This window comes from Homo sapiens, chromosome 6, assembly GCF_000001405.40.
Source record: "Homo sapiens chromosome 6, GRCh38.p14 Primary Assembly".
Classification (NCBI taxonomy): Eukaryota; Metazoa; Chordata; class Mammalia; order Primates; family Hominidae; genus Homo; species Homo sapiens.
In genome coordinates this window covers 28,724,812-28,746,822 of record NC_000006.12, presented here as the reverse complement: position 1 = coordinate 28,746,822, position 22,011 = coordinate 28,724,812, and the positions used below count along the sequence as shown (strand labels likewise).

Below are 22,011 nucleotides of genomic sequence, written 5' to 3'. Positions count from 1 at the left end.
AAGTTATTTTTAAATGTACAATACATTTTTGTTGACTATAATCACCCTGTTGTGCTATCAAATGATAGATCTTATTCATGCTAACTATATTTTTGTATCCATTAACCATCTCACTGCCCCCTCCAATACCCTTCCCAGCATCTGGTAACCATCATTCTACTCTCTGTCTCCATGAGTTCAATTGTTTTATTTTTGGCTTCCACAAATGAGAGAGAATATGTGAAGTTTTACTTTCTGTGTATAGCTTAACTTAATGTCCTCTAGTTTGTGGAGGAAAAGTTACGTATTAAATTTGAACTCAATTGAACGTGGACACAAACAATGGTCACCAAATCCTGAACAGGTTGTATGAACCCCTTGAGGTGTTCATCCAGTGCTGTTTTGGAGAAATCTCTATTTCAATCTATTCCTATACGTTAGTTATTGAAAAACAACAGACAATCGCAAAAACAAGTTGACCTTTTCTTGTTCCTTGAGCTCAGTCGCGAAGGGCTCTCGTGAGCTTCATGAGACCTCTCCTTCTCTGTGCATGGACGAGTGGCCGACTCTGGAGCCGGGGCTGTTGCTTCCCGGTGTGGTGATGAATCCTTCATAGTCTTGTGAGTGTACATATATATAAATATATATATTTATATATATATATATATATTTGGTGAGTGTGTGTATATATATATATATATATATCTTTTCCCTTCTCCCCTTCCCATTGCAATTTGCTTATTGTATCATTTGTTTATTATATCTGCATTGCCGTTTACGTGGGATAAAGGTTATTTACCCTTAAAGGTATTGTGTGTGTGTCTTTTCTTCTCCCCTCTCGCATTTCCCGCACAGAACATAGTTCCATCCGCTTTGCAAATGACAAGACCTCATTCTTTTCATGGCCGAATAGTACCCCGTTGTGTATACGTACCACATTTACTTTATTCATTTATCTGTTGATGGGTACTTAGGATGCTTCCCAATCTTGGCTATTGTGAATAGTGCTGCAATAAAGATGACAGTGTAGATATCTTTTCGATATACTAATTTCCTTTCTTTTGGGTATAGGCCTAATAGGGGGATTGCTGGAATATATGGTAATATTTTTAGTTTTCTGAGGAACCTCCATACTATTCTCCAAAGCGGTTGTACTAATTTAAATTCCCACCAAGAGTGTACTAGGGTTCTCCTTTCTCCACGTCCTTGCCTGTCTTTTGGATGAAAGTCATTTTAACTTGGGTGAGATAACATTTCATTTTAGTTTTGATTTGCATTTATTTGATGATCAATGGTGTTGAGCACCTTTTCATATATTTGCCATTTGTATGTCTTCTTTTAAAAGACATATAGACAAAAGAATGGTAAATAGATATGTGAGTAGAAAATCTTTACTTGGCTGAGTTTTCTTTATCCTTTCCTTTCACAGTAGCCCCCATCCCCAACACACACACACATACACACACACACACACACACACACACACACACACACACACACGTCAGGTCAATAACCAGACCATAAGTGCTGCAAATCTTAGTTCTTTCTGTGTGTGTGAGTGAACGTTTGTTGTACACTGGATCACACCTCACAGGAAATGCTGAGTTTTCCAAATTCTAAAGTTAAGAACATTATTAGGGTCATGCATTATGGGTTTTTGTAAAATGGCTAAAGTAGCTACATTGGGAGATTCTTTGTCTAAAGGTGCAATACATCCCCCAATTTGATTCAGGGCTTGGAAAGTTGTCTGGTTTCATCTAAACAAATAAATAAATTCTATTTTTTTCAAATCTCAATTATAGAAACCTTTATCTACAGACACCCTCCTCCATTCATTTCTTCAGTGAAATTATCTAGACAGATTGTTATAGAGAGATTAAGAATGTCATACTTTCAAATCTCTCTTGGATTCCTCCCAAAATACTTTTGTTAGAAATATTTAAACATTTTAAAGGAATCTTGCCTGGAACCCATCAGATAAAAATCAAAAGGCATCAGAGAAAACACTGAAAGGCTTTGGAAAGGAAATGGTATCACTGGTATAAACAAACATTTCATACAATTTAATAGTTTCTTAGCATTATTCTTTCAAATCTCAGTGCCAATCCTTTTTAGCATCTTCCTGAAGAAAGAAATTTCAGGCTACTTTGGACACACTTTCTATAGGGTACCCCTGCTCTGCAAACAGCAGGAATAAATAAATAAATAAATAAATATAACAATAAATAAATAGATTTCGATGGTTTGGCTCAGTCTACCAACCTTACTAACTGTGCCAACTTTACTATCTGCTGCCTACGTCTGCCAGTTAACTTTTCCTCCTCCAGACTGAACAAAAAATGCCCTTTTATTTAAATTTGTTAGATTTTGAGATTTTGGATTGCTATTCTTTGGGCACAAAATCCACTAGTGAGAAGGTGAGGAAGCAAAACTGAGAACAATTTCAAAACATGTGAATAAGTTTGAGTCTGTTGAAACATAAGTCATGGTAGTGCATCTTGCCCAAAATGGAGATGGATTCTTCAGCACTGACTAGAGCAAGTAGCCTCCCCAAACTGGATCACACCAGAAACCCTTATTCAATCTAATGCTCCTCATAGGACGCTTTCTGAGAAAGAAAGGGACTTAACTAAATCAGTTTCATAGGGAACAGCAGAAGACCTTTCTTTTGTCTACCCAGACTCATCTAGTCCGGCCCCAGAACTAGCGTTCCGTGGTCTCAAACATGGGTCATTACTTAATAAATTAGTGTACATAGGATACACCATCCAAAATATGGCCTAAAACAATTCTTGAGTTTTGACTGGAGAAACCTGGAGAAAATGGTGTACAAGGGATCCAGGAAAAGTTTAGGGCTGAGAGATGCATCTCTCTGGGGAAAGGAGATAGGACTGGGCACTGGAAAAATGAAATAGTTTCTTCCCAGTAACTCGTCATTTCCATGAAGCCAAGACGATGCGAAAACTGAGGGAATCTGTGATTGGTTTACTTTACAAACTTGGTTGTTGTTTTTTTTTTTAATCTTTCCTACCCTATCAACATAGGGGACATAGCTGGGGAAAGGGTAACAAAAAATCGCCCCAGACTGTTTTCTGGATCAATCCAAAGGTGAGCTTAGAGCAATCAACCTTTAGGCAAAATACTTGGGGCTTTTCTGACAAGGGGGAGCTTTTTTTTTTTTTTTAATTTCAACTTTTATTTTAGATTCAGGGAGTACAGTGCAGGTTTGGGACAAGGGTGTATTGCGTGTTGCTGATGTCTGGAGTACGATTGAACCCGTCACCCATGTGGTGAGCATAATACCCAACAGGCAGTTTTTCTATCCTTTTCCCCCTTCCAACCTCCCACCTCTTACGGTCTCCAGTGTCTTCTGTTCCAGGGGAGCTCTTGTTTGAGCTTACAGGCTTTTCTTCCTGGAGGAAGCACCATCGTATCTTTGAGACGGAAAAGGTTAAAATAGATCAAACAATGATGCTCCCTCTTACGCTGTCATGTCCACTCCTTCATTGCAGACTTGAGTTCTTGGCTCATATTTCTGTACCCGAACGTGCATTATCATTATTAGTAACTTAGAGAAGAGAGCCTTCAAAGAAGGCAAAGATGTCACTTCTGATCATCTCGCAGTTTATAATTCTAAGGAATTGCTATTAGGAATTTTAGATGGAGTTTTATTCCTTCTGCCCACCTCCTCCCCCGCCTCTCCCCGCCCCCCTTCAAGTTGTTAAATCTCTAATTACGAAGTTAAAGGTTTGAAAACAGAAACTCAACGTTTCCTCACTACACTTCAGTCTTGATGTGTGCAAATTAGCACCCGCGTGCGGCCGCGTGGCCTAATGGATAAGGCGTCTGATTCCGGATCAGAAGATTGAGGGTTCGAGTCCCTTCGTGGTCGTGTTCTTACTATTGTCAGGAAATATCTTTACTTTCTGCACATCTCCTTGAGCTTTCTGCAAGCCAGTTAAAAAAAAAAAAACCGGCTTGTTCCCAAGACTTTGGGAACTTGAAATGAAAGAAGACTATTGACAAAAAAAACAAGAACCCGGTAAGCAACCTGTGTATTGACTATTAAAGTGCACTTTGTCCCTGGCATAGGTACTACCGGAGGCATTCGTAATTTGGAATGGGCTTGGTTTTTCAATTTATGGTCTTGTCCTACTTGTTTCATGAATTTAACAAACACAACACAAAATCACCCTTTTCTTTTTTTTTTTTTTTTTTTTTTTTTTTTTTTTTTTTTGAGACGGAGTCTCGCTCTGTCACCCAGGCAGGAGTGCAGTGGCACGATCTCGGCTCACTGAAAACTCCGCCTCTCCGGGTAAAGCGATTCTCCTGCCTCAGCCTCCCGAGTAGCTGGGATTACAGGCGCCCGCCATCACGCCCGGCTAATTTTTGTGTTTTTTTAGTAGAGACGAGGTTTCATCATGTTGGCCAGGTTGGTCTCAAACTCCTGACCTCAGGTGATCCGCCCGCCTCGGCCTCCCAAAGTGCTGGGATTACAGGCGTGAACCACCGTGCCCGGCATTTTATTTATTTATTTATTTATTTTTGAGTCTCACTTTGTCGCCCTGGCTGGAGTGCAGTGGCACAATCTCTGCTCATTGCAATCTCCACCTCCAGGGTTCAAGCTATTCTCCTGCCTCAGCCTCCCGAGTAGCTAGGATTACAGGTGCCCGCCACCATGCCTGGCTGATTTTTGTATTGTTGGTAGAGAAGGGGTTTCACCATATTGGCCAGGCTGGTCTCGAACTCCTGACCTCAGGTGATCTGCCCGCCTTGACGTCCCAAAGTGCTGGGATTACAGGCGTGAGTCATCGCGCGCGGCAGAAAAGTACCATCTTAATAGTAAGGACTATCATAATAGTAGGGGTATTGGGTGCAGGGTATATGGGAACTCTAATATCTTCTAAATTTTTCTGTAAAGCTAAGACTGTTCGACAATTATACTCTATAAAATAAAAATGATTTGTTTTTTTAAAGATAGACAGCCATGTGTTTAAAAAAACTTAGAGCAAAGATCTTGCCCTAGAAAGCAAATGCAACTCTAACGGGGTTCTTGTACTGGTTAACATCCGCATTAAAGATGATGGTGACTTACAGGGCCTATGCCATTCTCTCTGATTTCTACGATTTCCTTATTACTCTCAACACAAGCTTAAATAAAACAGTAAACAGAAAAGTAAAATCTTTCCAGACCTTGGTTAACAAAAGCAGAAACAAGGAGGAGAACGAGGAGGAGAAGGTGAAGGAGAAAGAAAAGAACAAAAAGAGGAAGAAGAGGAAGAAGTCACAATCAAGGAGAGTATATCACCAAGAAAAGAAAGTTTCTATCAAAAACTTTCTTTGGGCTCTCAAAACTCGAGAGTCAAACATTGTTAATAAATTTCCACAAAAATCTGAAGGTCACAAATCCAAATCCTAATAGGAAAAGCTTTCATCAAAATGTACTGATAAAGGCTCAATTACAACAACCTGGAACTCATGTGGTTGGGACACTCGCTCGAGCTCATAGTTTTGAAGGATGGCCAGAATTTAGAAACAAAGTGGTCAAAGAATGCACTATTATCACACTAAGAGTTTGGCAACCCTATCAGCAAAATGAGCCAGGGCCCTCTAAGAAACTCACAGGACCCACATATTGCTGAGGAAAAGAGGTATTTACTCACAACTGAAAAAACAAAACTGAATGTATGTCTTGCTTGAGCAGGGGTGAACTACAAGCAGATTGCAGTCTCTTAGTAAACAAACAAAACAAGAAACAAAACAAAAGGCAGGATATGCAGAGGAGTTTAATTAATTGTCAAGTGAAATTAAATTCACATAAATCAGCCTTTTGGGTGGTTCAAAGTAGAGACGGCTGTGAATTGTTCCTAGATTGACATACAAACAAATACTTATTTATTTATTTATTTATTTAATTTTTTGAGACGGAGTGTCGCTCTATCGCTCAGGCTGGAGTGCGGTGGTGTGAACTGCGATCTCGGCTCACTGCAAACTCCGCCTCCCGGATTCAAGCGATTCTCCTGCCTCAGCCTCCTGAGTAGCTGGGACTACAGGCGCATGCCACCAAGCCCGGCTAATTTTTTTGTAATTTTAGTAGAGACGGGGTTTCACCATGTTAGCTAGGATGTTCTTGATCTCCTGCGTGATCCGCCCGCCTCGGCTTCCCAAAGTGCTGGGATTACAGGCGTGAGCCACCGCGCCTGGCCTTACAAATCTCTTTTACTTAGGAACTACTGAGTTAAGATAAATGTGGGTGCTAAATTCCAATTTGGCCCGGGCATGGTGGCTCATGCCTGTAATCCCAGCATTTTGGGAGGCCGAGATGGGCGGATCATCTCAGGTCAGGAGGTCAAGACCAGCCTGGCCAACATGGCGAAATCCATCTCTACTAAAAACACAAGAATTAGCTGGGTTTGGTGGCGTGCGCCTGTAATCCCAGCTGCTAGGGAGGCTGAGACACGAGAATCACTTGAACCCGGGAGGTGGAGGTTGCAGTGAACTGAGATCACGCCACTGGCACCCCAGCCTGGGTGGCAGAGTGAGACACCATCTCAAAAAATAATAATAATAAAAATGAAATAAATAAATTCTGATTTGTTGTGTGAATTCATGGTTAATTATGCAAAAGTGGAATATTCTATTCTTAATTGACTCAAATTAAAATTTCATTTAAATGTCAAGTTTTAAGATACCAAGATTGAGTGCTGATAGTATTGTTATTACTTGAGCACAAACTCCTGGACTCAGTTCTCTTGTCTTGGTCTCCGAAAATGCTAGGATTACAGGCGTGAGCCACTCTGGCTGTCCCCTCAGTAATTTTTTTTAAGTAAAGTTTATTTTATTTATTTTTTGAGTTGAGGTCTCGCCCTGTCACCCAGGCTGGAGTGCAGTGGCACTGCAAGCATGGCTCACTGCTACCTCAAACTCCTAGGCCCAGGCAATCCTCCTGCCTTGGCCTCTGGTGTAGCTGGGACCACAGGTGTGCACCACCATACCTGGCTAATTTTTCTATTTTTTTGTAGAGACAGGCTCTCACTATGTTAGCCAGGCTGGTCTCCAACTCCTGAACTCAATTGATCCTCCTGCTTTGGTCTCCCAAAGTGCTGGGATTTGAGGTGTAAGCCACTGCTCCTGACCAATAATTTTTTATATTAATAAATTTATGGCCGGGTGCTGTGGCTCACGCCTGTAATCCCAGCACTTTGGGAGACCGAGGCGGGCGGATCACCTGGGGTCAGGAGTTCGAGACCAGCCCGAATAATATGGTGAAACCCTGTCTCTACTAAAAATACAAAAATTAAACGGGTGTGGTGGCGGGCGCCTGTACTCCCAGCTACTCGGGAGGCTGAGGCAGGACAATCGCTTGATCCCGGTAGGCGGAAGTTGCAGAGAGCCGCGATCGCGCCACTGCAGTCCAGCCTGGGCGACAGAGCGAGAGTCCGTCTCAAAAAATAAATAAATATAATAATAATAATAAAATTTATGTCTACCAAAATAATTTATCTACATTATGAGCAAAATATGTCCATGTTTTGACTTGACACTTTTTGCACTCTCAACACTGCAATCCTCCTCATATCTTAAGTCAGCGTTTTGTTCATCCACTTGACAGTAGGGCAGAAAAGAGCCTTGAATGAATACCTCTCTGCAAATCCGACTTTCCCCGTTCAAATCTTGTCTCTTCCGCTGAGACTAGAGAGAATATAAGCAGCAAAACGCACCGCAAATACCCTCCCGGTTGCTCCAGGAGAAAGCTGGGTTCAGTAGCCTGTTGAGTATGAATCAAAAAGAAGTATGGGAAAATGAAAAGTATCTACATCAGAACAGGATCGTGATTCCTAAATTTCCGGACTAGTGGCCTGATGCATTTCCAGCTGAGCTAGCCAGAAGTACGATGGTTTTAGTGGGTATCTACTCTAACCCAAAACGTTCAGTCACTACTTAACCTTTCTTCCTCATTCTTTCTCTTGTATTTTAAACCCAAACACGCGAAAATAAACAAACAAACAAAAAGAAACACAAACTAAACAGTTGCTGCCTGCATCAAAGCTGCAGGCTGCTTCCACATGAGAACTGACACAACGTCACTTTCCTCAAACCTCCAATACCAGGGGCTACTGCTCCACGAATACTCAACCACACGCCCTCGAAAATGCTCAGCCTGTTTCCTGCGATGGAGAGTGCAGTGCAGTGAGGCACTCTCAGAGTCACAAAATCTTGGGCAACACGAGCCGTACCCTTCTGTGGGATATACACTTTGAAACCACTCACCTAGAGCCTTCTCTCTTCCCCAGGGCCTAGAGAAAGCTTGGCAGAGACGCGGCGCTTGGCTGCTTTCTTCCTCCACGCTTGTCTCAATACTATCCGTCTTTAAAGACGCGTCCCCGATTTTTCTTCTGCCTTCTTCTCCGCTGCTTCTTCTCTCCTCCACTCAGTGTTATCCCTCCCGGCTCCAAGAGCCCTTCCTTCCTTTTCAAAGCCTTCCCTTGCGTCCACTCCTCAGCTCATTTCAGTTCCCAGCCACTTGCCTTTCTAGTATAGTAAGAACATAACCTGTACATTAGGGACAAACTTCTCCCTACTCTCCCTTACGCCCCTGCTGGGTTTACAATGTTCTCCAAAATTCGTATCTGGATTAAACAGTCGCACCACATTTTGGCTACAGATGGGAAGGGTCTACTTTCTGCACTTCAGGGACTGATGAAATTTTCTCACTTGTGGGGGTGTAGGGAGGGTTTTACAAAGGGTGAATTGGTTTTCTCAGGTTGAGACCAGCTTCCTTTGTGCTTTCCTCCTTGCTCAAAAAAATTTGCTCTGAAAGAGTCCTCTGTCTTCGGCTTCGTTTGTGTTGTCTTTAAAACCAGAGCTAGTCAGGCTTGGCGGCAAACACCAGTAATCCGAGCACTTTTGGAGGCGGAGGCGGGAGTATTGCTTAAGCCCAGGAATTCAAGACCAGCCTGGGCAACACAGGGAGAAGACCGACCCGCCCCCTTCCCCCATCCCGTCTCTATAAAAAATCAAAAACAAAAAAACCTATAGCTGTAGAGTCGCCGATGAAGCCGCTGCCACATTTCCAAATCCAGATGTTGGACGCAACCTTGTGCAAAACTGCTACCTTTGTCACTCTTTGTTTTTGTCAATGTTGTGAATTAACCTCTTGTCTTTGCTTGTTTGGTTGTTTTTCAGGAGTTATTAACAACTTTATTGAAGTACAGTTGATATATGCAAAACCCCTACACGTTGAAGGTAAGCATATGAGTGAGGACATATGCATACATTTATAATGCTATTTCCACAATCGGTAATAAACACACTTATCAACTCCAAAAGTTTCTTTGTGTTCTTTCATGTTCATGGGTGGTAAGAAGACTTAAACATCAGAGTTATCTTTTTTTTTTTTTTTTTTATTTTGAGACTGAGTCTCGCCTGTCGCCCAGGCTAGAGTGCAGTGGTGCGATCTCGGCTCACTGCAACCTCCGACTTCCGGGTTCACGCCATTCTCCTGCCTCAGCCTCTCGAGTAGCTGGGACTACAGGCGCCCGCCACCGCGCCCGGCTAATTTTTTAAAACATTTTTAGTAGAGACGGGGTTTCACCGCGTTAGCCAGGATGGTCTCGATCTCCTGACCTCGTGATCCGCCCGCCTCGGCCTCCCAAAGTGCTGAGATTACAGGCGTGAGCCACCGCTCCCGGCCGAGTTATCTTTTTAACAAAATTTTAAGTGTACATTATGGTATTGTTAACTGAAGGCACTAGGTTGTGCAATAGATCTCTAGAACTTATTCATGTTTCATAACTAAAATTTTAACTCACCGAGCAACAACTCCCCATTTCCCTCTGCCTCTGGTCCCTGACAATCACCATTCTGTTCTCTGCATTTATGAGTTTGACTATTTTAGATACCTCATATAAGTGGAATTATGAAATATTTGTCCTTCTGTGACTGGCTTATTTCACTTAGCATAATGTCCTCCAGGTTAATCATTGATGCTGGTGCAAATGGCAGAATTTCTTTTTTATAAAAGGCTGAATAATATTCCATTGTATGTATATACCACATTTTCTTTGTCCACTCATCTCTCAATGGACACTTGGATTGTTCCCTTATCTTGGTTATTGTAAATAATGCTGCAGTGAACATGGGAGTGCATATGTTTCTTTGAAATTCTAATTTCGATTTTTTGGGGACATATACCCAGAAGTGGGATTGCTGGATCATATGGTAGTTCTATTTTTATCTTTTGAGGCGACCCCTTACTATTTTCCATAGTGGTGTCATCATTTTACACACCAACAGTGTAGAAGGGTTCCAATTTCTCTACATCTTTGCTAACACTTACCTTTTGAGTTTTTTCTTTTTAATAACAGACATCCTAATAGGTGTGAGGTGGTATCTATTGTGATTTTGATTTGCATTTCCTTGATGATTAGTGATGTTAAGAGCACCTCTTCACATACCTAGTGGCTATTTGTATGTCTTCTTTGGAGACATGTCTATTCAAGTCCTATGCTCGTTTTAAAAATCAGGTTATTTGGGATTCTAAGGGGTGTGTGTGTGTGTGTGTGTGTGTGTGGCTATTGACTTGTAGCGGTTTAAAAAATTTATTTTGTATATTAACCCCTTATCAGATAAATGATTTGCAAATATTTTCTCCCATTCCATAGCTTGCCTTTTTCCTTTGTTGATTGTTTTCTTTCCTGTGAAGAAGCTTTTTAGTTTGCTATAGTCTCGCTTATCCATTTTTGCTTTTGTTGCCTGTGCTTTTGGTGTCATACTCAAGAAACCATTGCCTAAACCAATGTCAAGAATATTCCCCCCTGTTTTCTTCAAGGAATTTTACAGTTTAGGGGCTTAAGTTTAAGATTTAAATTCGTTTTTAGTTGACTTTTGTGCATTAACATCTTGTCTTGTCTCCTCACCTGGATCTACGTTTCCTCTGCAGCACTCACAGAACTCGTCTTTATATTCTCTGGCACTATCGCGCGCGCGTGTGTGTGTGTGTGTGTGTGTGTTGGCAGCTCCATAGAGGAGGTTTTTTTAAAAAGGAGAGAATCTGAAGACATACCAGAAGATTCAATCTTGGAACTTCGCTCCAGGTGGACGGAAACTGACAAAGAAAGTTGGCTAACAGCAGTCCTTGAAATAGATGACGGCTGTGAGAGGATCCAAGGGTCTTTCGGTCCAGAATGCCTTTCTCCTCTTGACACAGCGTCAAGACAAGATTCCATTCAGAAGTTTCAGAAACAGGAGTTAAAACATAGCGGACTTTAACCTATCATGCCTTAAGCCCTCACCTTTAGATAATAGCATATAATAAATCAGTAAGAAAACGGCATTGTAAGTGGGGGTGTAGCTCAGTGGTAGAGCGTATGCTTAACATTCATGAGGCTCTGGGTTCGATCCCCAGCACTTCCACAAGTACATTTCCTTATATCTATCGTTGAACATTTCGTTTCAGTCTTTGAATACTTAGTTCCAGTCTTTTCTTTTTTCTTTGTGCATACACTAGCTTGTGTTTTTCCTACTCACAGCGAAGGTAAGCCATTTGGTACTCATTCATTTGTACTATGGGTCCTAACACTCCTTCAGCCTCCCAACCTGACTGCTTCAGCACAGCTTTATAGTTATTTACTGAAATAGAGAAGCTGCTTATTCAAGATCCCCTGAGAGTGAAGCAACAGGCATGCCGGTCATAGAAGACTCGTTCTCCTAGACCATCCTGGCTAACATGGTGAAACCCCATCTCTACTAAAAATACAAAAAAAAAAAAAAATTAGCCGGGCGTGGTGGCGGGCACCTGTAGTCCCAGCTACTCCAGAGGCTGAGACAGGAGAATTGCATAAACCCGGGAGGCTGAGCTTGCAGTGAGCCGAGATCGCGCCACTGCACTCCAGCCTGGGCGACTGAGCAAGACTCCATCACAAAAAAAAAAAAAAAAAAAAAAAAGACTCGTTCTCCTTTGCTGCCGTTTCTCATTACTATTAAGAAATCGGGGGGGAATAAAAAACAGAAAGAGAAGAAAAAAAAATCGCCCTTGGAAAACATCCATTAGATTTCTCTCCTCCCCCCCCCACCCCCACTCCACCCATATCTGACAGACTACAGACCTTTCCTCATTCTCCCCTACATTTCCACCACTCATAGAATCTTGGTTGGGCGGCAAAAGTGGGTCCAATCATTAGTCATGGGAGCGCTGTGATCTCAGCTTTCTCTAAAGAAGGAATGTTTAGAATTTTTTCCGAACGAAAGACGCTTCTGGCGAAACTCCGAGACTTTCAAAATACACAGTTGAGAAAATTATTTTCAGAGATGGAAAAAGCCGCTGGTCGCTCTCAAAGCGGTGTCAGTTTTGGACAAAAAGGGTTATGTTTTCCTGTGGAACAGAAGCTTGTAGTTCACCTCCCTTGGGAGGGAAAGACCTGGTTTCCTACAGCCAAAGAGGAGCCGAGGGGCCGGGCTCGGTGGCTCATGCCTGTAATCCCAGCACATTGGGAGGCCGAGGTAGGCGGATCAGCTGAGTTCAGGAGCTCGAGATCATGGCGGAAACCCTGTCTCTACTACAAACAGGAAAATTAGCTGGGCGCGGTGGCGCTCGCCTGTAATCCCAGCTACTTGGGAGGCTGAGGCAAGAGAATCGCTTGAACCCGGGAGGCAGAGGTTGCAGTGATTCGAGATTGCGCCACTGCACTGCAGCCTGGGCGATAGAGCGATATTCCGTCTCAAAACAAAACATTATAGAGGAGCCTAGGAGACATTGGCAATGCGGACAATTTCAGGGCCATCCAAATCTTAGGCCTCCGTAAAGATCTGGCTTGAAGCTCTCTCCTTCGTCCCTTCCTCTTCTGCAACCACCTGCCTCCACCTATCTCCCGACTCGTTTTCTTCACCACCTCTTGTCACCTTCACTTCCACTTTCTCCCATTCCCGTTGATTCAGTTCCACGGCTTCCTCCTACCTAAATGTCCTCCAGCAGCTCAGCTCACTACAGTTTCTGCAGCTCCACTTTCTAGGTTGGCGTTCTCAAGCCTGAATGATAATCGTCTGAGGGAGACCTTTCAATTGTGAAGATTCCCATCTTTCTCCCTATCCGGTGATTATCGGTCCACTATGGAGCTGTAAGTTACAAACCGGTATACCATTGAAGTTCTCAGGGCGGTTCCTCAGGCTCAGGAAACACTGCATTCCAGTCTAAAACCTTTTGACTCTTTATTGGAGGTTGTTTCTGGTTGGCTATGTTATAAATGGCGCCTTGCCTCTAAACGCCCATCTCAGTGACTTTCCAGCCACAACTGAGCCTCACTCCGTTAATTCTAGCGGGGGTGGGGACAGGAGACAAAAGTTGGGAAGGAACCAAGAAGTTGATACATAATTTATTCACATATTCAGGAAGATACAGATTTTGCACAAATAGGAAAAATATTAGAGAGAAAGGTAAAAGTAAGAGAAGACACAATGGTTTAGGATTACCTCCTAAAATTTATGTGGACATAGTTGGACACCCCAAAATTTAACAACAGGAGGAAAGTGTCTGTTATTTGTGCCATTGTGATGGTTGAGGTTTCAGAATCTCTCCAGGAGCACGGGGTAAGAGTAAAGAGGTTGTAACAGAAGTTTAAGTCCCTTAAACTTAAATGCCTCCTATGTGTTTCTTTGTAGGTCTCAGGAACGGAACTGCAGCGTCCCTGAGACGAAGCCACTGCTGAGTTTCCTGATCATGATGATCCACTGAAGAGTTTGCTAGAGCAGTGACTGTGACAGCATACACTTAGGTTTTTTTTTCTTTTTTCTTTCTTTTCTTTTCTTTCTTACTCTTTCTTTGTTTCTTTCTTTCGTTCGTTCTTTCTTTCTCTCTCTCTCTCCTTTTTTTTTTTTTTGAAACTGATGTTTATTTCCCGTCAATGTTATTTCCATGTTGTCTAAGAGCCTGTGCAAGAATAGCTTAAGACCATTCAGTGGTTGCTTCTACCCATTCAGTGGCCTGAGCAGTTTGAGCTGCAGATCAGTCTTCTGTGTCAGGCTGAGCGCTCCAGTCTTCAGTAGGTAACTGCTGGATAGGCACAGACGGCACCTGCAGGCCTTCAGACCTGTCTGCAACCTCAGGCTGGGTAGCAGTGAACTGAGGAGCTGGTGCAGTCCATTCACCCTGAAATTCCTCGTTGGTCACAGCCTTTTCAGCAGCAGCTTGCTTTTCTTTTTCAATCTCTTCGGGATCTCTGTAGAAGCAGGGATCAGTCATGACCTCCCACGGGTGTTCACGGGAAATGGTGCAACTTATGCGCCGAACTTCTGGGACCAACATCCACCACATCACACCCACTGAGTGAGCTCCTTTGTTGTTGCATGGAATGGCAATATCCACATAGCACAGAGGAGAATCTGTGTTACACAGAGCAATGGTAGGTAGGTTAACATAAGATGCCTCCATTAAAGGCTGGTGGTCAACCCTGGGGTCAGTAACCACAGGAAGCCGTGGCTCTCGGAAGGCTGCCTGGATCTGGCTAGTGAAGGTTCCAGGAGTGAAGCAGCCAGCAATTGGAGTGGCTCCAGTGGCAGCAGCAAATTTCAGCACTGCCCTCTGGCCAGTATTCCTGGAGGATATAACACTGACATCAGCAAGGTTTTCAATGGCAGCAATGGCACGAGCTGCCAGCAGAAGCTTCTCTCAGGTCCTTTTCAGATTTATGATGTAGATGCCATCGCTTTTACTTTTATAAATGTACTGTTCCATTTGGAAGTAAAGATTGGTGCCACCTGAGTGGGTTCTTGCGGCAAGGAACTTAAGGACATCCTCCTCATTCATCTGCAGTACATCAAGGGCTCCGAACATTGTGAAAGTTTCCCTTCAAGTCACAACGGGAATCCAAAACAACGCCCTATGGACCCCTCTGTGGGTAGCGCGGAAAAGCACACATAGGTTTTCATTTGGGACCTGTTTTCTTCTTCCATCTGAATCTAGATTTCCCCAGACAACTTTCTGAGTTCTGCTCTTTTGTACCCTCCTCCTAGTATTTCTAATTGTGCAGACAGCCAGAAGCAGTGAAAATTCAGGGGCTCTGGTGCAACGGTGTAGGAAATCTGTGATAGGGTGGAGACTACCTGGAGAAAGAGAAACACACTGGAGTTCCAACCTGAAGCCAAGTGTGTTAACGTTGGCCAGGCTTGTTTGTGTGTGAAGCTTTGAGGTCGTGGGTCTTAGCTATTCCCTTTTCCTGGAAAGGGGTCTCCAAAATATGGATTCCCTCATGGATTACAATGGCCAGAGTTCTACTGCTTCATGGGGATGTTTTGTCTTTCATCGTTCTTGATAGCTGCCTGAGAGATGTGTTGAGGGCTCCACACCAAATACTGTAGGGTTATAAACAGCAAGAGGTAAAAGATGCCCTGAGAATCCATGCTTGGCAAAATGGAAGGTGGTCCAAGCTGTTTTTCACTGATTTGGCAACTCTGCGGGCCAATCAGGAGTCAATGAAATGAGGGTCAAAGAGAAAGAAGGTCTATCATTTTTTCTTTGCCCAGAAATAATTCAGACAGCAGCATGACCATAATATACCTGATGGGGATAGCCCTGCCAGGGGACTCTGTGACTTAGCTGGTTAAAACCTCTGTCCTGGGTTTGGGTCTCAGAGATAACTGAGCTAGTGATTCATCCTTGCTCCCTCTCCTGCTCCTTAAGGAACTAGGAGGAGCACGCTCTTAGTTTTTTCAAACAAAGGAAATTTGACGCTATATTTGGAATTTCAACTTCACATTTAAAACATCCTTTTTTAATACAAAAGGTAGCATGCAAAAGCTTTGACAAAGAAAACTGGTATCGATTTTGATACATTCACCAATACACGATTTGTATGGAAAAGAAAGTGCAGAACAATGATATACCATAGTTTTTACTTACTCTTTAACAAGTGTTTCTTTCTAGAAATTCAAGCAACTTTATCTAGTCCTATTCCTCATCCACACACCTTTGGCCACACCTGCCTTTGGGGCCTTTGGTACAGTGATATGTGAAGTATTATTAATTCATTTAAAGATTCAAGAACAAACAACCCTGAAATTCATCGAGGAAATGTAGAAGGCAAATAATTTAAATACGCTATTTGGCAATGCTTCTGAGATTTTTACTGCAGCTAGATGTTTTGGTTTGAGGAATGGGGGGAGTTATTCGGTGTCTTCTATTACATATTTTGTGTACATTTCCTGTGAAAGTCGATTTAATATGCAATAAAAATAACTGCTGCCAAAACCCAAGACCTAACTTTTTTTTCTTTTCTTTTTTTTTTTTTTGAGACGGAGTCTCTCTCTGTCGCCGAGGCTGGAGAGGTGCGATCTCGGCTCACCGCAACCTCCGCCTCCCGGGTTCAAGCGATTCTCCCGCCTCAGCCTCCCGAGTAGCTGGGATTACAGGCGCCGGCCACCACGCCCGGCTAATAGTAGAGAAGAGGTTTACACCATGTTGGCCAGGCTGGTCTTGAACTCCTGACCTGAGGTGATCCACCCACCTAGGCCTCCCAAAGTGCTGGGATTACAGGCGTGAACCAGCGTGCCCAGCCAAGACCTAACTTTTAAAACCTGTTGGTAGATCGCTTGCTGTAGGCTGTAAGCTATTGCAGCGAACGAGAGCTGGCTGTTTTCAGTCACCCAAATGATGTTTTAAGCGTTCGCGAGGCAAAGCGCTGAGTGCCACCTTACATTTAGACAACCTTTACACACTAACTCACCCAGAAAAACTTGGGACCTAATGCCCAGCCCCTCTGCTGCTCACAATTCAATTATCAGCGGCAGAGGCGGCTGGTGGAGAAGCCCCGAGGAGAGAGGCGGAAGGCAACCAGTGGGAAGATTTTCTGCTCCTCATCCTTGGACGACCTAATGCCCCTAAAGCAGAGATGCACGGAAAATTTTCTCTGAGCTGCCTATTTTTTCTTATTTCCATTCTTTTTTAGTCTATCTCTTTAGCGATACCGCCAAACGGAACTCAAAGTGCATGGGTCCGTAATGAGATTGCAGGGTTCGTGCTTCCTGCCAAGGAGATCTTGATGGAAAATTTATCTATTTAGGTTTTTTTTTTTTTTTTTTTTTTTTTTTTTTTTTACGCTGGGCTACAAGTCGATATCTACATACAGTTAGAAATGATGCCATGACCCACACACAGCTTTGATGTAAGCCTAGAAAGTTTTAACCTTAATCAACATAATTTAAAAGATATTTGCGTCTGGAAAAAATATAAAGAAGAACTCCTTGTGGGGTAATTTGTGTCCCCCTTTCAATGTCTGCTTGTTTCACTCACGTTAGCAAGACATTCTTCTCAAGCTAAGTTTTATAAAAAGCCACAGATGAGTGCCAGAATAAATAGCATAGTATTAAAAGCAACACATTTGACACTGTCCTCTTTTTATAGGAGTAGGAGAAAAAGTGACAAACGCATGCAAAGAACCAGAAAGGAGAATGAAGAAAATGGACAACTGGAGGAGCCGGGGGTCGAACCCGGGGCCTCGTACATGCGAAGCACGCGCTCTACCACTGAGCTACACCCCCTGACCGCATGAGAGTTCTGTTGGCTTATATATAAAATATCACTTGTTTTCAGTTTGTTGGTTTCATTTTCTGTTGGTTGGAGAAAGATCGCTGGATTAAATTCCACTACTTTCGTGAAATCACTGAACTGGATACTGTTTGGCAGCTAACAGTATCCTAATATACTTATAACAGTATACTAAGACACTAAGATTATAGTCCAAATGACGCAGTTTCTTATCCTCGGACTTTCCAGTTCCTGTTAGCCTGCTTCAAGCTCCATTCACAAGCAAACTGCATGAAAGCTACTTTCCTCCACCAGCAAAAAGCACAAACTTCCAACATTGAGGACTGTTCAGTCATGGAGAAGGATCCCTGATTTTAGTCTAGACCTTTAGTCCAGAGCTCTTCCAATTGAGCTATGTTTGCCACACTTCTATTTTCTCCCGCAATACTAACTCAAATGAAGTGCTCCTCAGTCCAGAGGCAGCCGTCGGCGAGCTGAATTCACACTGTATTTGTCGGACAGTGTGACAACATCCATTTTCCAGCTGACTCTCAATCCTCGTTAATGCATCCTAATAGCTGCAGTCCCAGCTGCTCGGGAGGCTGAGGCAGGAGAATGGCATGAACCCGGGAGGCGGAGCTTGCAGTGAGCCGAGATCAAGCCACTGCACTCCAGCCTGGGCGACAGAGCGAGACTCCGTCTCACACACACACACACACACACACAAACAAAACAAAACAAAACAAAACAAAACAAAACAAAACAAAACAAAGAAACCTAATAAATTTTTTCCCTTCTCACCATTCCTGATCAACTAATAATTTTTACAGCAAAAAAAAACTTTTTTTACATTACACATCTAGTATCCTGATGTAATACAATTGTATTTGGCAGTTCTTTTTGATATTGTCTTTCCTAAATTTAAGTTCTACATTTTTAATAATAAAAAATGTATGATGTTTCTTACATTAAAACTAGCTCCTAGTTTCCCAATCAGCTTCCGATCCACAATAAAGACTTGTTCTAGCTCTTAATAAAAAGGTGAATATTGAAAATAATTAGCAGTAATGTGCTCCACACTTTAATTAGGTCAAAACAATTGTGACAATTGTCTGTGACAAATCTCACAATGTGAAAAACAAAAGAAAACAAAGCTCTATCAGTTCAAAAGAAAGAAACTTATTCACCCTAGGTTAATTATGTGCAAGTAAAACAATATTCATATAAACATGTTTCAGCAATTGTCTACCCTTTTCAGGTTGGACTGGGAATGTCCTAGAAGCAGATGCATTGTCATTTAGTCTGCAATTCAGTAACCTTTCTCGTGGTATAGCGATTAAACGAGATCCAGTTTAGTGATTTCAGAAATAGTGGGATTTATCTCAGTGGATTTTCTCCCGCCAACCATTATGTTTTGAAAATTAGAAATACTGACACAGATATATCAAGATGTATCTCCAAGAGAGCTTGGCTATCACAAGAATGTTGCTCGGTGGTAGAATGCATACTTAAAATGTGTGCTGTCTTGGTTTCATTTCCTGAAAATGTTGCTGTTCTTTAGCTACTCACCAACAGCCACCCCTTCTTTTCTCATACGCTTTACTCGCATACATGATCCAAAGTACTCCCTTTAGTGCTACTCCATTTGTACGCCATAAACTTCTGCACCACCCAGTGCAAAAGACTATGACAAAGACTAGATGAAAGAGGATAAAACAAAGGATTAATAGCTCATTCAAAATCATCGCTAGGAGACAGAAACCTGACCCCACATTAACAGAAATTAACCTTGGGTTCCAATTCTCCACATCTTCGAAGATTATTAAAGACAAAAAGAAAAGAAAAACAAAGAACGCCACCACATTTTATTTTTTATTTTTATTTTTAAATTTTCTTTGCTGTGTCTGGCTCAACCAACAGGATGTGGAAGAGCAGAAAGTTTTTTGTTTGTTTTTTAATTCCTGTTACTTTTCTTCTATCTCCCTCCTCCACCTATCCATTCCACACTGCCAGGGAATTGGATTCAGCCATCATATGTAGGAGTCAATAAGTTCCAAGTCTTTCTTAGTGGGTAAATACATTGTATAATAAAAGTACTTAAGAAACCTGAAAGCTAAAAAGTTGGAAACAATCGAAGTATTGAAAGAGAAATTGAATAAAATTTTCAGTCTACAGTAAGCTGAGATAGCTCGGTTGGGAGGGCATCAGCCTGAAGATCTAAAGGAGACTGGTTCAATTCTGGGTTTTGGCAACTTTTCCTTTTCAGAGACTCTACCAGCGATCTGCCTTTGCAGTCTTAAAATTTCATATGAACTGCATCTCTTAATTTATATTTCGTAATTGATATTCGGGGGAGCAAAAGAGCATGGCACATAAGCAAAGGAATTTCGTGTCTGACTTCCTTTGCTTCTCCATATATAATAAAGCAATCGCGATGCCCCGTGAATTTTGATGTGTGAAATAAAGATGAACTGTAAAATTCATTTTGATACTCACAATTTTATTTTATTTTTTCTTAATTAGAGTGACATTAGACAGAAAATGAAAAATACCATGACAGGCCGAAAAAAGAGCGACTGAAAGGGAAAAGCTTTGTATTTTAGCACTTTTGATGGCAGTTGCCCCTGCTTTTTGAATAAGGGACCCTGTATTTTCATTTTACACTGGGCCTGTAAATTATGTAGCTGGCCTTCTTCAATATTAAATCGACATTCACAGTACATGTAATTGTAGTATCTATAATCGGCATTCATAATTACAGATTATTAATTCATAGTTGACATTTTACAAATTTGGAGAATTGAAGACATTCTAACTCTTCGCATGCCTATAGTTGAATTATAATCCCAAGAGCACTGGCCAGTACTGTATTAAAATCCACGCCTACAGTATACGTTCCCTCTCTAAACTTCAATTTGTTGTTCTTAACTCTTTATATAAATTGGAATACTTGAAACGACATTGCACAGAAAATCCCAATGGAAGATATGGCTTGAATTTTTTTTTAAAGCAAACAAAAAAATGGGCAGTATATTATAATTATTGTCCTGATCTTTGCTATTTTTATGTAGTCTTATGTTGGGAGGATGTACAGTTTCAGTTTGTTTCCAAAGCCTTTGGATGCCACCTGTTATGTCCAAAATCAGGGGTGGAGGATCTTCGAAGGTAGACAGGAACGATAGAAAAATCTCAAGTTTTAAGAGAGTTGGCAGAAAGGCACACTGACCTTGCCAACCAAGGCCCCGCTGGGAGTCGAACCCAGGATCTCCTGTTTACTAGACAGGCGCTTTAACCAACTAAGCTACGGAGCCCACGGAGACTGTTTTTGGTTTCCTTCTATCAGAGTATACCTTGGTATTTGTGGTAGAATTTAGATTTTCCTTTTTATTAAAAAAAGTTGTTCATTTCTTGGATTTTTATTTGGCCTTTGATTCCACTCACAGCCACTCAAGACAGTGAATAACAGCTTTAATGGAAGCACTGATTTGCCAGTCTTTTTCTTTTGCTCTTCATAACCTCACTGTAGTTGTCTTGGAGCCTTGTTGCCTCATGGGAACACAAGCCGAGGGAAAAATTCAAGCAAGATCAAAGAAGGAACTATGAGTAAATATTTTTATTTCAGGATCATTTTAGGCTTTCTAAGGCATTTGACTTAATGTTCAGATTGTGCATCTGTGACAGAAGGGAAATGCCACAAGTTCTTTCACTTTAAAAGTCAACCCCTGGAAATGAGCTCAAGCAATTCCTATGGTTTACTAAGTTTGAAAAGGAAGGAAAATGAGTGAAGGAGTTAATAACCTCAGTGACTTTTTCTAGGGAACATTACAACTCTTTATCTAGACTCATAAAGAGATGGAAGACAAGGAAGACAGGAGGGAGGAAAACAGAGTGTTCTGGAGCTTTAGCGACTATACTGTCCCTTTAAAATGGAACTTTCTCTGCCAAGAGGAAAATTCAAAGGAGATTCACAGATTAGGACAACAGCTACCAAATGAGTTAGTGGAATATATATGTGTGTCCCAGCTAGATTGATAGATTCATGCAGTTCAGTTGATAAGCATTCAAACTATTAATGTAAGGAATGAAGACTCGAGTCTCTGTCACCAGTATTTTTTTTTTTTTTTTTTTTTTTTTTGAGACGGAGTCTCACTCTGCTGCCCAGGCTGGAGAACAGTCGCACAATCCCGGCTCATTGCAACCTCCGCCTCCTGGGTTCAAGCAATTCTCCTGCCTCAGCCTACCGAGTAACTGGGATTACAGGCATGCACCATGACACCCTGCTAATTTTTGTGTTTTTAGTAGAGACGGGGGTTTCACTATGTTGGCCAGGCTGGTCTCGAACTCCTGACCTCAGGTGATCCACCTGCTTCGGTCTCCCAAAGTACTGGGATTACAGGCATGAGCGACAACGCACGGCCTAGAAGTACAGTATTTTCTAAGAAGTTGAAAAACAATAATTCACTGCAACCTGCAGCTAAATCTGCTAAGATATGTTACAGCTAGTGATGGCAAAATTA

At 42.0% G+C, this 22,011-nt stretch overlaps 4 non-coding genes and 2 pseudogenes across 4 annotated transcripts, besides 1 other annotated feature; 3 read left to right on the top strand and 3 right to left on the bottom strand.

Moving 5' to 3' along the window:
• The first annotated feature begins 3,798 nt into the window (after nucleotides 1–3,798).
• Nucleotides 3,799–3,871, top strand: TRR-CCG1-1 (tRNA-Arg (anticodon CCG) 1-1). Its single transcript has one exon. It is a non-coding gene; the product is annotated as a tRNA-Arg (tRNA).
• Nucleotides 3,872–11,322: 7,451 nt separating this feature from the next.
• Nucleotides 11,323–11,394, top strand: TRV-AAC6-1 (tRNA-Val (anticodon AAC) 6-1). Its single transcript has one exon. It is a non-coding gene; the product is annotated as a tRNA-Val (tRNA).
• On the bottom strand, nucleotides 13,849–14,884 carry RPSAP2 (ribosomal protein SA pseudogene 2; annotated as a pseudogene).
• Nucleotides 17,317–17,639: a transcriptional cis regulatory region, noted in NCBI's record as "candidate enhancer chr6.1373 targeted for multiplex CRISPR interference". NCBI's record gives its function as "positively regulates H1-5 gene expression with high confidence in K562 cells {active_cell/tissue: K562}" and the evidence as "EXISTENCE:mutant phenotype evidence [ECO:0000015][PMID:30612741]".
• On the bottom strand, nucleotides 17,437–17,508 carry TRA-CGC4-1 (tRNA-Ala (anticodon CGC) 4-1). The gene has a single exon. It is a non-coding gene; the product is annotated as a tRNA-Ala (tRNA).
• TRF-GAA11-1 (tRNA-Phe (anticodon GAA) 11-1) lies at nucleotides 19,673–19,745 on the top strand (annotated as a pseudogene).
• TRT-AGT3-1 (trRNA-Thr (anticodon AGT) 3-1) lies at nucleotides 20,732–20,805 on the bottom strand. Its single transcript has one exon. It is a non-coding gene; the product is annotated as a tRNA-Thr (tRNA).
• Nucleotides 20,806–22,011: the final 1,206 nt, after the last annotated feature.